Source organism: Homo sapiens, chromosome 5 (assembly GCF_000001405.40).
Source record: "Homo sapiens chromosome 5, GRCh38.p14 Primary Assembly".
Classification (NCBI taxonomy): domain Eukaryota; kingdom Metazoa; phylum Chordata; class Mammalia; order Primates; family Hominidae; genus Homo; species Homo sapiens.
In genome coordinates this window covers 150,703,262-150,717,965 of record NC_000005.10, presented here as the reverse complement: position 1 = coordinate 150,717,965, position 14,704 = coordinate 150,703,262, and the positions used below count along the sequence as shown (strand labels likewise).

Below are 14,704 nucleotides of genomic sequence, written 5' to 3'. Positions count from 1 at the left end.
CTGGTCATTTAGCATTGCTCTTGACTGAGATGAAGTCCAGATTTTTGGCATAGCATAAGAGCTGCTTAATGACATTACTTCTCTGTTCTTCCAGTGTGGTCTTCCTTCAGATCCTCAAATTTAGCATTCCCTGAATCGTACATATTAGTGGTTGTGATCCAGACAGATCCAATGGGTTATAAACTTTGACACTGGAGAATTGTGTATGCTATTCATTTTACTTAGCATGCCTCCTTCCTATCCTGACTCCCCTAACATACATGCCCCTTCAGTCTCTCAGTCTCATACATTCATTCTTCAACACTTGTGAAATATCATTTCCTTTTAGAAATGATACGTTTAAAATCATTTAGAAGCTGGTATGCCTCCTCTAGATTCCTCTACCTTACAAAGAGTATACATAACATAGCACTAACTAGTCTGGGCTTGGTGGCTCACGCCTGTAATCCTAGCACTTTGGGAGGCCAAGGTGAGTGGATCATCTAAGGTCAGGAGTTCAAGACCAGCCTGGCCAACATGGTGAAACCCGTCTCTACTAAAATACAAAAATTAGCCGGGCATGATGGCAGATGCCTGTAATCTCAGCTACTGGGGAGGCTGAGATGGGAGAATCACTTGAACCCGGGAGACAGTGATTGCAGTGAGCTGAGATCGCGCCACTGCACTCCAGCCTGGGCGGCTGAGGTGAGACTCCATCTCAAAAAACAAAATAACTAAATGTTAAAGTAGGTGATTTTGACTCAGTGTGAGTTGAATGGATGTAATATGGCCTCTCTTTATATTTTGCTACTTCTAGTACTTGAAATTTTAGAACAAGAGCCTTTCTCTATAGATCATCTATTACTAATTCATAATTCAGCATGATATTTATAATAGAAATGGTTTAAAAAGATGCCTATATCTTTAGTTCTTATTCAAATAATATTAGAGAATTTCTGTCCTCTTTTTTTTTTTCTTCTGCTTTTTAATGATTTCACTTACTAGCATCACCTCCAAAGAGAGATAACACTTATTTCACTTATTTGGTCCTTGTTGCTTTTTTTTTTTTGAGACGGAATCTCACTCGGTCGCCAGGCTGGAGTGCAGTGGCGCAGTCTCGGCTCACTGCACTCTCCGCCTCCCAGTTTCAAGCGATTCCCCTACCTCAGCCTCCCAAGTAGCTGGGATTACAGGCGCCTGCCACCACGCCCGGCTAATTTTTTGCAGTTTTAGTAGAGACGGGGTTTCACCCTGTTGGCCAGGATGGTCTCAATCGCTTGACCTTGTGATCCACCTTCCTCGGGCTCCCAAAGTGCTGAGATTACAGATCTGAGCCACTGTGCCCTGACGTTCCTTTTTTTATTAACACTAATAAGCAGCTCCAGTTAAGACAGACAGAAATAAGTACCTGATGCATAAGCACAGCATATCTTTATAAAGCTCTCTTTATACCTCCCCTCCCACATTTGTATCTATAATTAGAAATTTGATCAACACTGTTAACTGTTAACCTCTGATAGAGCAAAGTTGAGGCCTAATTACAACATAAGTCTGAAGAATGCTAATTGTTTTCCATGACCATAATCACCCAGTATCTCATGTAAGTTTATGTATCAGGTACCAGGAATCAGCTGGTACCATGTCAAAAAACATTGTGTTGGAACCAGTGTTTCTCCTTTGTGTTGTTCTTAATGATGGACTGTTTCAGATGTATCAAAAAAAAATGAGGAATAATATGGCAAGTACCCATTTCTCCCCATCCCCTTAAGAAATTAAACATTAGGGCTAGGCGCGGTGGCTCACGCCTGTAATCCCAACAGTTTGGGAGGCCGAGGCAAGTGGATCATGAGGGCAGGAGTTCGAAACCAGCTTGGCCAATATGGTGAAACCCCGTCTCTACTAAAACTGCAAAAAATTAGCCAGGCATGGTGGTGGGCACCTGTAGTCCTAGCTACTCATGAGGCTGAGTCAGGAGAATCGCTTGAACCCAGGAGGCAGAGGTTGCAGTGAGCCGAGATCATGCCATTTGCACTCTAGCCTGGGCGACAGAGTGAGACTCCATCTCAAAAAAATAAATAATAAAATAAAACATTAAAGACACAATTGAAGCCCCCATGTTCTCCCCAGTTCCTCATTGCAGACCCCATGAAGTAAGTACTAACTTAGCTTTCTCTTAAAACCTTTGTTCTTATAAACTCCATAGAAGTAGTATATGTTTCCTGAAACTTGCTGTGTGCTTCCATTTGTCTAAATCAATGTCGTACTTTGCTATATTCTGTCACACTGGTCCCTTCTCAGGCAGGCCTCTCTGTGTTGCTCTCCAGGTGGTGGTGCCTCCCAAAGAGCTCGTTTTAGCTGGCAAGGATGCAGCAGCAGAGTACGATGAGTTGGCAGAACCTCAAGACTTTCAGGACGATCCTGAGTGAGTGATCTTTTTGTGATCCCCATACAACAAATGGCTGATAATAGAATGCCCACTTATATCCAGTTTTCTTGTCTGGATTTTTTAAAATAACTTTTTTCTTCCTGTTTCTAAAAATAATTATTGTAGAAAATTGGGGAAATATATGTAAGACCATGAAGAAGAAAATAAAATTATCCCACCACCAGAGATAAACACCATTAGCATTTTGGCATTTGTCCTTCCAAATATTTCTCACCTCATTGGGATCATTCTATAAATACAGTTTTTTAGCCTTTTTCACTTGAATATATTTTCCCATGTTAATAAAGAAATTTTTAATTATATGATTTTAATGGTTGTGGACAGGATACAATACTCTGTCCCTAGAGATTGATCATCGGGTTTGTTCCCCACCCCCACCCCCTTGGAGGAATTAATAGATTTTACTCTCTCATATCTAATAACTGAAAAGAACCAAACCTTCCAGTAACTGGGGACTGTGACCATCAGAGAATTCAGTCTGTAGACTGAATGTTTTCAATGATTCGAACAGAGGATTTAATATAAATAATTGTTCACTTGTGTAACTTAAAAAGTGAAAAAGAACACTGAAGTAGCAATTTTATGCTACTTCATGGGCATAAAATTTCAAAGATAGCTATTTGATGAGCCAGCTACCACCCCTTAGGTGGAGGGAACAAAGGGAAATAGTTAGAATTATTAAAATTTAGAACTTAAACAAAGAGCTCCATGTAGCTGAAACTCAGGCCTCCAGTGAGCTGAAGGGGAACACTGCTTGCGTGGTCCTGGCATCTCGTGATGGCAAAGGAGGGGTGGCATGATTATACAAGAATTGGAAAACTTCAACTGCTTACTGCCACTTCCTCCTGGGTAAAGAAGCATTGCTGGGCCGGGCATGGTGGCTTACCCCTGTATTCTCAACACTTTGGGAGGCTGAGGCAGGAGGATTGCTTCACAGGAGTTTGAAACCAGCCTAGGAATAGAGTTAAGACTCCGTCTCTACAAAAAAATTTTAAAAATAGCCAGGTGTAGCAGCGCATGCTTGTAGTCCCAGCTACTCAGGATACCAGGGTGGGAGAATCAGTTGAGCCCGGTAGGCTGAGGCTGCAGTCAGCTGTGATTGTGACTGTACTCCAGCCTGGGCAACAGAGTGATACCCTGTCTCAAAAAAAAAAAGACATTTTTGGAGTGATGGCCACAGGGAACAGGGACCACAAGCAAACAGGAATCTCTAAAGGAAGAGCAAGACCCTTCCTCCTCCAGACTTCTAGTCTCCCTTTAGAGCCCGCTGCTGACAGAACCTGACAAAGAGCCATCCGATCCAGCAGATACAGTCCAAGCAGAATCCTGTGTCACAAAGCAAAATTGAGAGAGGTGCGCTTGGAGCTGAAAAATAATAGCTTAGTAAACTGGCACAGGGAACATTCACAGTCTTTGTTTTGTTTTTAGAGAAGGAGTCTCTGTCGCCCAGGCTGGAGTGCAATGGCGTGATCTCCTGCTCACTGCAACCTCCACCTCCCGAGTTCAAGCAGTTCTCCTGCCTCAGCCTCCTGAGGAGCTTGTATTACAGGCAAGCGCCACCACGCCTGGCCAATTTTTGTATTTTTAGTAGAGATGGGGTTTTGCCATGTTGCCCAGGCTGGTCTTGAACTCCTGACCTAAAGTGATCCACCCGACTTGGTCTCCCAAAGTGCTGGGATTACAGGCGTGAGCCACCATGCCTGGCCCATTTACGGTTTTTTGACAGAATGATCAAAAGCTTTCTCAACAAGATATTAGAGAGAAGAGATAACAAGGTGGGTTAGAAAAATAAAGTGAAGCCAGGTGTGGTGGCTGATGCCTGTAATCCCAGCACTTTGGGAGGCTGAGGCAGGCAGATCACTTGAGGTCAGGAGTTTGAGACCAGCCTGGCCAACATGGCGAAATCCTGTCTCTACTAAAAATACAAAAATTAGCCAGGCGTGGTGGCACGTGCCTGTAATCCCAGCTTCTTGGGAGGCTGAGATGGGAGAATCACTTGAACCCTAGGGGCGGGGGTTGCAGTGAACTCAGATCACGCCACTACACTCCAGCCTGGGCAACAGAGCCAGACTCCGTCTCAAAAAAAAAAAAAAAAGAAAAGAAAAGAAAAATAAAGTGAAGGCAAAGGTGAGATTAGTTTAGTGATACCAAACGTGGGTTAACTTCAGAAAGCACCAGGTCAAGTGTTGTTTTGTTTTGTTGTTCGATAGCATTCCAGACCCTAACCCCAGAGGATTTTTTTTAGCAGGTCTAGCTAGGGACCAGAAATCCAAATTTGTTTTGGAAAAGCTTCCCAGGTATCAGTGGTTGCCTGGGAAATTAAGGATAAAAAGAAAGACTGATGTTTTTCTTTTTACCATTTTAAACTGTTTGAATTATTTTTTACATGACTCATACAAATCAAAGGTCTGGTTAGTTACTGTAATACAAAATGTGCTGAGTTGTACAGTACAAAATGTGTTCTCTCAAATCCTTGCTTTATGTGGGTCCTCAAATTAATTAGGTACAGAAATTTGTTAAGCCAAGATATACTTCTGGAATGATTGTCTGAGATATCAGATTTCAGCCTGATTACATGATAGAGTAATTAAAAACTGAATTAATTATATTTTACATTATTAGATTTAATAGAACTTTCAGATTTCTGGAAACTAACACTGTATAAATATGTAAATATGTAATCCCAGTAACCTTTCTTAGAGTAACTGAATGTCATTTGGGTAGTAGACAAATTCTGTTTATTTCATTGCCCTTTTACTTTCAGAAACTAAGTTATTAAAGCACAAACTGTATGCACAAATGAGGGGAAATTGAAATGCAAACCTCAATGAAGAGACATTTTTGTGCTAAAATTCCTAATTACATAAGTTATTTACAAAAACATTCTTGATTTATGGTGTTCCAAAATTTCCCTTAAAGCACTGAGTTATTAAAACTTCCCACAGTATGGCCAGGCATGGTGGCTCATGCCTATAATCCCAGCACTTTGGGAGGCCAAGGCAGAAGGATCATTTGAGCTTAGGAGGTCAAGGCTACCATGAACTATGATCGTGCCACTGCTCTCCAGCCTGGGTAACAGAGCAAAACCTTGTCTCTAAAAAATAAAAATAAGGCCGGGTGCATTGGCTTATGCTTGTGATCCCAGCACTTTGGGAGGCTGAGGCGGGTGGATCACCTGAGATCAGGAGTTCGAGACCAGTCTGACCAATGTGGTGAAACCCCATCTCTACTAAAATTATAAAAATTAGCTGGGCGTGATGGTGTGCACCTGTAATCCCAGCTACTCAGGAGGCCGAGGCAGGAGAATCGCTGGAACCCAGGAGGCGGAGGTTGCGGTGAGCCAAGATTGCGCCACTGCACTCCAGCCTGGGTGACAGAGCGAGACTCCATCTCAAAAAAATAAATAAATAAATAACTTTCCACGGTATGAGTCTATGTTCTATAGAAATATTGCATTTGCACAGAGGTAAATGTAAAGGGATGTTTGCAGCACCATTGTTTATAATAGAGAAAAGTTGTCAGCAACCTCAGTATATGCCAATTATGGTAAACACATAATTGAATACTGTGCAACCATTACATAGATTGTAGATGATCTGTATATACCAGCGTCAAAAGGTGTTTGTGATAAACAGAGTTAAAAAAAAGCAAGTTATGGAATAGTGTGTACCATCTGTGTTGGTTAGAAAAGCAGAAAAGTATAAGCTCATAGAAAAATATATGGCCAACGTGTTGGCTTATGCCCGTAATCCCAGCACTTTTGGAGGCCAAGGCAAGCAGATCACCTGAGCCCTGGTGTTCGAGACCAGCCTGGGCAACGTGGCGAAACCCCATCTCCACCAAAAAATATACGTATTAATATATAAAGCTAGCCAGGTGTGGTGGTGCATGCCTGTAGTCCCAGCTACTCGGGAGGCTGAGATGGGAGAGTTACTTGAGCCCGTGAAACAGAGGTTGCAGTGACCCAAGGTGGAGCCATTGCACTCCAGCCTGGGCGACAGAGCGAGACTGTGTCTCAAAACAAAACAAAAAAATACTTGGTAGGTTAAGAACAAAGTGTTTATAGGTTTTCTGTGTGTGCTGAAGGAAAGAATAAGGTGAAAGACTTTTACTGTAAGTCTTAGTGGTTTGGCTGATTTTTTTATCTACCTAATACTTGCTTTTTTTTCTTTCCATAGCATTATAGCCTTCAGAAAGGCCAACAAAGTGGGTATTTTCATCAAAGTTACACCACAGCGTGAGGAGGGTGAAGTGACCGTGTGCTTCAAGATGAAGCATGATTTTAAAAACCTGGCAGCCCCCATTCGCCCCATTGAAGAAAGTGACCAGGGAACAGAAGTCATCTGGCTCACCCAGCATGTGGAACTTAGCTTGGGCCCACTTCTTCCTTAAAAGGTTCCACTGGAGGGCAGATCCCAAAGGACAGTATCACCGTAAACCTGCGTTAAAATGTGGAAGCTGCTGCTTCATTAGGCCTTGTTTATAACGATGTACCCATGCACTACGGAATTCTATTGCTAAGAAAGTGGGAGCATAGGCAAGGCATTGGGAACACAGGGTAGCTGCTGTTGCTCTTGCTCTCACCCCTGTTGACACCAGTAAGTCTGTGTCTCCCTCACTGAACCCTGCACGTTGAGTAACAGCAGCATAATTCCATCCTAGGAAAGGGGATGGGTGTTCCTTGGAATGGCATTGTATTTACCACCTGAGAAACTCTGTACTGTCTCTTGATCTGATCTCACTAAGGATCACAATGTCACAGATGAAACTTAAATGATAACCCAAAGGTAGACCTGCTGTTAATGATCCAGCATTGGTCACAATGTACCAACTGCTTTCTGCATTCCGTTAAATATCATCTAACAGTCTAAAACATATCCCTTCATTGCCATAATGGCTGCCATTTTGCCATAGATTTCCATATAACTGAAAAACTGAATTGTCACTTTATCTTTAGTATCATGATGATTGGAAAAACCTGTGAAGTTGTTAAGGCACTCTCATTTGCCCTCTTTTTCTAAGTGAATACAGGACACGTATTAGTTGTTCTTAATTTTTTTCCCAGTAAAATATGGATCTTTTAAGAAGAATTTGAGAAGCAAACAATTACATGTCATGTCAAGGGGGTAGCAGATTCCATTCGTTTTCAATATTGCCACAATACCCAGGGATTAATGCTGCCACAGGGGGGCAATCTTTATTTGTCTTACTTCCTACCCCTTCCCTGTTCTGCCTCTTTAACTCAGTTAAGTTGTTCTGTTTGGGACCTGGAAAAGAACCCAAAGAAAACCTGAGTGGACAGGTTCATTTCTGGAATGCAGAAAACATTTTAAAGGCTAGATTTTTAGAATATTCTCAACTAGCATTCTTTCCATTGATTTGAAGGGGAAATTAACTATTATAATCTCTTGAATCCAAAACTGGATATTAAGAACTTTCCCCCTTACTAAGTTTAAGACTTTTGTCATGTGGTGAGTCAAATAAGACCATTTTGATTGTAAACCATAAAATAGTTCAGCAAGTAGCCCACAGTTCTGGCCTAACAGCAGACTTGCTGTTTTCACTTGGTATCCTGGAGTTGGGTTGCTAACCTTAATTTCTATGATGTTTTCTAAAATGAAACTTGATAAAGTAGACCACCAGCTGCACCGTGTTTTCTGTAAAAGTATTGTTAGTAAGTGGCCAAGAGACTTGAGGAAAATACAGATTTTTTGTTTACCTTGGTCTTGTTTTAAGTCTTAAAAAATTAAAGATAACATTATAATGTAGAATACAGATGGGACATAGTCCTTGTAAGCTTCCCTTGAAAATGTTTTAAATATTTAGGAAGCTTTTAAAAGACACTAAATTGTACTCTAAAAGACACTAAATTGTACTAATTGTACAAAGGTCAAGCCAATTTTATGAAACAGTCCTACAGAGTAATATATGTGATGCAGTGTAAGAAGGAAAATACTCATCTCTAACATTATGGTAATAACATTTAGCCTCTTAGGAGTTGGAGCAGGGGGATGGGTAATTACAGATTTGCAGACTATAGAAAGAGTTTCATTTTTTTGTGACCCCACAGAGTCTCAAATTTTTATTTCACTACCTGCTAGAGCCTACTGTGAAATCACTGCTCCATATTTGCCAGTGGAGGAAATGGGCATAGAGTAGAGAATAGCTTCATATGTTTACACGTTTGCATAGACTACACACATGTCATGCGTTTATGGCAGGTAGCTGGTATTTATTCCCCAAAGTAATAATGTTGAAGTATGGGTCTCATCATTCCCATACACAGAAACACAAAACACTTTGATCATAAACTTTTTTCTTCAGAAGCCAAACTAACTTGCAGAATAATAGAGCCACTGGTTTAATGTTTCCTCAAGATAGGTTTTAGTGTAAGCTAGTATTCTGTGTGTTCGTAGAAATGATTCAATACCTGCAGCTGGTGAATTAGGAATTGTATTTGTTGCCTTTTTTATATTAGATGAGGTGCAAAAATTTTAATGCTAGTCAGTATGCACCACCACAGGAAAGTTAGATCCCATTAGCACTTGAAACTACAGCTTTGGAAACTTAGGCTAAGTTAATTTGGATTTGTTACTTGATTCACCTACTGACCTTTTCTTTTGTTTGAAGTGCTTATCAGCATAATGAGCTAAGTGTCATGCATATTTGTGAAGAAACACCCTTTTTGGTCCCTTTTGGGACAGAGAGGTACTCCTTGATCTTTATGAATGACAGGTTACTGTTTTGCCTTATTGCTTAACTTAATGTAGTGAAATAAAGCAGACAAAGCTTGAGCGTGTCTTTTGTTTGCTCTCATGTAGATACTAAGTAGCATGGCTCAGAGCCAAAAGACAAGCGTGAAGTTAAGAGAGTTGGCTAAGAGAGTTGGTGGGGCATGCTCCCTTCCATTCCTTAAATGAAGTAATCTAAAATCTCTTAGCAGGTTAGTTCACCATAATATATAAGTAGATGTTGCTTTGAGCTTCTTATATACATATTCACAGAACCATTATATAAATGTTGTTAGACCTCTACCAGTTTTTATCCTGGGTCATTGCTTCTAAAGATATCCTTTACAATATACACAGTGGTCTGACTCCACCAGTGGCCACTCATCACCTTCATCTGTACCTTCATAACTGTTCCTTCCCTCCTCTTACTTAGATGAATTATTCATACTCTTCCTGTTGGAACCCAGCCCCACCTCTTAACACTGAAGCTCATCCTCTTACCTATTCACAGATAGCATCGGCAGCTCCCTCCTTCCCTTTTCCATTAGCATGTGATTTCTCTCATCTTAAAAAAGAAATTGGCCTCACTCTCCTCTTCAGCTGCCACTCCATTTCTCCACTCCCTGTACAGCAAAACTCCTCTAACTCTGACTGGGCATGATCGCTCACACCTGTAATCCCAGCGCTTTAGGAGGCCGAGGTGAGAGGATGATTTGAGGCCAGGAGTTTGAGACAAGACTGGAAAACCTAACAAGACCTTGTCTCTGTTTAAGTAAAAGTTTTTTAAAAAACAAAAATGGCCAGGTGCGGTGGCTCACACCTGTAATCCCAGCACTTTGGGAGGCTGAGGCGGGCAGATCACGAGGTCAGGAGATCGAGACCATCCTGGCTAACAAGGTGAAATCCCGTCTCTACTAAAAATAATAAAAAAAATTAGCCGGGCCTGGTGGCAGGTGCCTGTAGTCCCAGCTACTCTCGAGGCTGAGGCAGGAGAATGGCGTGAACCTGGGAGGCGGAGCTTGCAGTGAGCCAAGATCACGCCACGGCACTCCAGCCTGGGCAGCAGAGCGAGACTCCGTCTCAAGGGAAAAAAAAAAAAAAAAACCCTAATTCAACCTTCCAGTTCCTCCATTCTCACCTGAACCCATTCCAGTTAGACTCTCACCGCCACCACTTGGTCGAAACTGCTCTTGTCAAGGTCACCAGCAATCACCACACTTAAATACAGGGTCAGTTCTCAGTCCTTAACTATGCAATTTTTCAGTAGATCTGACAGTTTATCTCTCCCTTCTTGAAAGGCTTTGCTTGGTTTCCAGAACACAACACTCCTGGTTTTGAGGCAGAGCAGGGACCCCCTTTTAGGAGGCTTGTGGGCCCCTCCATGCATGGAAATAAAGGGAAATCTTGAGTTCCTTCAAGGGAATTCTAGGCACCTAGCTAGCCCAAAGAAGTTAATGAGCAACCTGATAAGCAAGAAGTAGCTGAACACAATAGCCAAGGAAGTCAGAGTGAGATGTTTTGTTCCCTATAGAAACTAAGGGTAACATACATGTCCCCAACTTTTCAGAAACCTGAACTCTCACCAGCTTTAAACCTCAGATAAGGGGAAACTGAGAACTGAACTCTGACCACTGTTCATTGTTCTAAGTTGCTTCCTGAGGGGCCTGGAGGAAGTCATGTCCACCGGCCAGAGCTAACATTCTTTTCTGTGGATCCCAAGTTTAGACAGCTTCACCGCCTTAATCATAAATCAAAAAATCTTTGAAACCACCTATGACCTTTGAGTCCACCCCCATCCCAGCTTTGAGATGTCCCACCTTTTTAGGTCAAACCAATGTATAGCCTCTATGTATTGATTTATGACTTTGCCTGTAACCTCTCTTTCCCTGCCTTTAAAAACCCGTAGCTTTAAGCCATCTGGGAGTTCGGGTCTTAAGCATGATCTGTGCAATTCTCCTTGCATGGTGCCCTGCAATAAAATGCCTCACTTTCTCTTGCTACTAGCCTGATGTCAATGGCTTTGTGGCACTGGGTGAGCAGACCCCAGTTTAATTCAGTAACAATTTTCTGTCTACCCTGCTAGAAAGTTTCCTTCCGTATTCTTTGCTAGTTCTTTCCCATCTTCCCAACCTTGCAGTATACCAAATCTCATTTCTCACACTTCTTTCCTCTTTACACTCATTTAATGAACTTGCCCAGTTTTGGGGGGCAAGAATGCCGAGAAAAGATCTATTCCTAAGGCCCACACAGGGCCTGCTGAGGACTGAGGCTGAATTGAATTAGAACAACAGAGAACCCCTTTACTTCTACCCCGCTACCAGCCTACCAAGCAGCTAGTAACAAGCATCCATTTCTAGGGGATGGGCAAAGGCCTAGAAAGTTAGTCACCACTGTGCAGGTAGGCAGGACAGCTGTAAGCTGAGGATGAAGCATGAACACTTGAGTTCTTCAGCCCCAACCTACAGTATAGAATAATGCTAGAGTAGGTGAAATCTGTGGTACATTGAAAGCAACCATAGCAATAAAACCCAAGCCCAGGTCAGGTGCGGTGGCTCAAGCCTGTAATCTCAGCACTTTGGGAGGCTGAGGCAGGTGGATCACCTGAGGTCAGGAGTTTGAGACCAGCCTGACCAACATGGAGAAACCCCATGTCTACTAAAAATATAAAATTAGTCGGGTGTGGTGTTGCATGCCTGTAATCCCAGCTACTCAGGAGGCTGAAGCTGGAGAATCGCTTGAACCCAGGAGCTGGAGGTTGTGGTGAGCCAAGATCGCACTATTGCACTCCAGTGTAGGCAACAAAAGCAAAACTCCATCTCAAAAACAAAAACAAAAAACAAAAAAAAAACCCAAGCCCCGCTTGATTCCTAACCAGATTGACCAAACCCCATGCAGACGGTCTAACAGAACACACTTGCCCATTTCCGAGCATTAATATGATTTACCTCATTCTCTTCTGTTATATAAGCAATGACTTGGCCGGGCACGGTGGCTCACGCCTGTAATCCCAGCACGTTGGGAGGCCAAAGCAGGCAGATCACTTGAAGCCAAGAGTTCAAGACCAGCCTGGCCAACATGGTGAAACCCCACCTCTACTTAAAGTACAAAAATTAGCCAGGTGTAGTGGTGCAGGCCTGTCGTCCCAGCTACTCAAACCCAGATGTTTGAACTAATGGACAGAGACTTTAACATGTTGTTGGGGCTCAGAAAATGATACCCCAAATTAAGGCTCTGAAGCAGCCTCAGAAGCAAAAGTTTCTCTCTGACCTTCTGCCTTCCTGTCTCTGGCCCTTCATTCTTCCCCAAGCCTAGCCACAGACACTGAATCCCTTTTCCTCAAGGTGGGTCATAGAGAGAACCCCTTTTCCCCAAAGCCAGCCATAAAATGTAAAATACTACTCTAGGCCGGGCGCGGTGGCTCACACCTGTAATCCCAGCACTTTGGGAGGCAGAGGCAGGTGGATCACAAAGTCAGGAGTTCGAGACCAGCCTGACCAACATGATGAAACCCTGTCTCTACTGAAAATACAAAAATTAGCCAGGCATGGTGGTGCGTGCCTGTAATCCCCGCTACTCAGGAGGCTGAGGCAGGAGAATTACTTGAACTTGGGAGGTGGAGGTTGCAGTGAGCCGAGATCGCACCATTGCACTCCAGCCTGGGCGACAGAGCAAGACTCTGTCTCAAAAAAAAAAAAAAAAAAAAAAACTACTCTAACTTCCGCCTTGCTTTTGTGTAAAAACTGGCTCTGAATAAATTATCTGAGCTACTTTGTTTTAGATTGTAGGTCATAAGACCCCCATTCCAAAGACGGTCCTGTACATACCCAGAAGGAAGGAATGCTGCCGAGAGAGGCCAAGAATCTAGACAGACAGGCCTCGCTGGGTTTCCCCACTCAGTCTATTAGCGCTAAATCAGTACGCTTTTTGTCCAATCCTATTTCTACATAGCTGTCCATACTTTGTTGAACCTAGGCATATAAATGGACAATTTCCCATCTGTGTCTTCATTCTGAAGGCTCCTATGTCAGGTAAAACTATGATCAAATAAATTTGTATGTCTTTTCTCCTATTAATCTGCCTTTTGCTAGTTAATTTTCAGTGAATCTTAAGAGGGCAAAGGGGAACTTTTCTGTTGGCCCCTACAATGTTAAAAAATCTGGTGGAAAACATGGAGCCAGGTGCCATGGCTCACACTTGTAATCCCAGCACTTTGGGAGGCCAAGGCTGGAGAATCACTTGAGCCCAGGAGTTCCGAGACCAGCTTGGGCAACATGGTGAGACCCTGTCTCTACAAAAAAGTTAAAAATTAGCTGGGCACCGTGGCCTGCTTCTATAGTCACAGCTACTTGGGAGGCTAAGGCTGGAGGATCCCTTGAACCCAAGAATTCCAGGTAACAGTGAGCTATGATCATGCCTGGGTGACAAAGTGAGACCCCCATCTCGAAAAAAAAGAAAAGGAAAATATGGATTATATATATTGTGAAAGGAAATTAAATCTTGGGACCCCAAACTCATTAAGCCAAAGGGAAAAGTCGAGCTGGGAACTGGGTCACACAAACCTGCCTCCTGCTTTTGGTTCCTAAATAAGATGGCTATAAGATGAAAAGCTACATGCCTCCCCCATATGTTGCCCAGTAATTCAGACCCTTCCATTAAACCAGCAAACCTTTTTCATTTACAATCTCATTGGACATGTTTGGTATTCCAGTGCTATGATCACTTAGCTTCAATCTTTGTACCACAGATAGGTATCGAAGATGTTATATGGCATATAGAGGCCATAACGAATTACACCCAAAGGCCCTAAATGGTAGCTGCATGAGTACCTCTTTGCTAAGCAATGAGGTCATGCTTATGAGGAAAGCTGTGTTGCAAAACTATGTGGCTTTAGATATACTCATGGCAGCACAAGGGGAACCTGTGCCACCGTAAAAACTGAATGTTGTGTGTATATTCCAGATGAATCAAAGAACATAAACTGAATTATGACCAGTATGAAAACCCAGATAAGCAACTGTCAGATCCAAAACCCTCACTAATCCATTGCTTGAGTGGTTGGTTTGGATCCTGGGGAATTTAGTGGCAGAAGCTATTGCTTATAATAGAAGGAATAATTTATGTTCTGTCCTGTTTCTGCTTACAATGTTGTTATAGTACGTGTTTGCAAATAAGTCAATATGCAACCGAAAGGGCTAAGGTAATGATTGCCCAGAGAATTGCTTTAATTGAGGAGGCAGTAATATAATAAAGCTTGACCCAGCTTCCAGGTTTGCTTTCCTTTTGTTGCTATAAATCTGGCCTAGTCCCTATATATATTTTTTCATCTCTTTTCTTTTTTCCTTTCTAGGAAAGTAAAATTCCTCACTAGGAATTTCCTTGTGGGCAAAATATGGGGGAGGCATGTAGCTTTCCATCTTGTAGCCATCTTATTTAGGAACCAAAAGCGGGAGGCAGGTTTGTGTGACCCACTTCCCAGCTTGACTTTTCCCTTTGGCTTAATGAGTCTGGGGTCCCAAGATTTAATTTCCTTTCACATTTCCCCCTTTTT

General features: G+C 42.5%; 1 protein-coding gene across 8 annotated transcripts in view; it reads left to right on the top strand.

Moving 5' to 3' along the window:
* The window catches only part of DCTN4 (dynactin subunit 4), a 50,578-nt gene extending 41,052 nt beyond the window's left edge, over window positions 1–9,526 (top strand). For all 8 annotated transcript variants that reach the window (NM_016221.4, NM_001135643.2, XM_011537644.2 and 5 more), the window contains 2 exons: window positions 2,304–2,401; window positions 6,604–9,526. In NM_016221.4, coding sequence (NP_057305.1) covers window positions 2,304–2,401; window positions 6,604–6,817 — 312 coding nt within the window. In that variant the 3' untranslated portion in view covers window positions 6,818–9,526. The remainder of the gene's footprint in view (window positions 1–2,303; window positions 2,402–6,603) is intronic.
* Window positions 9,527–14,704: the final 5,178 nt, after the last annotated feature.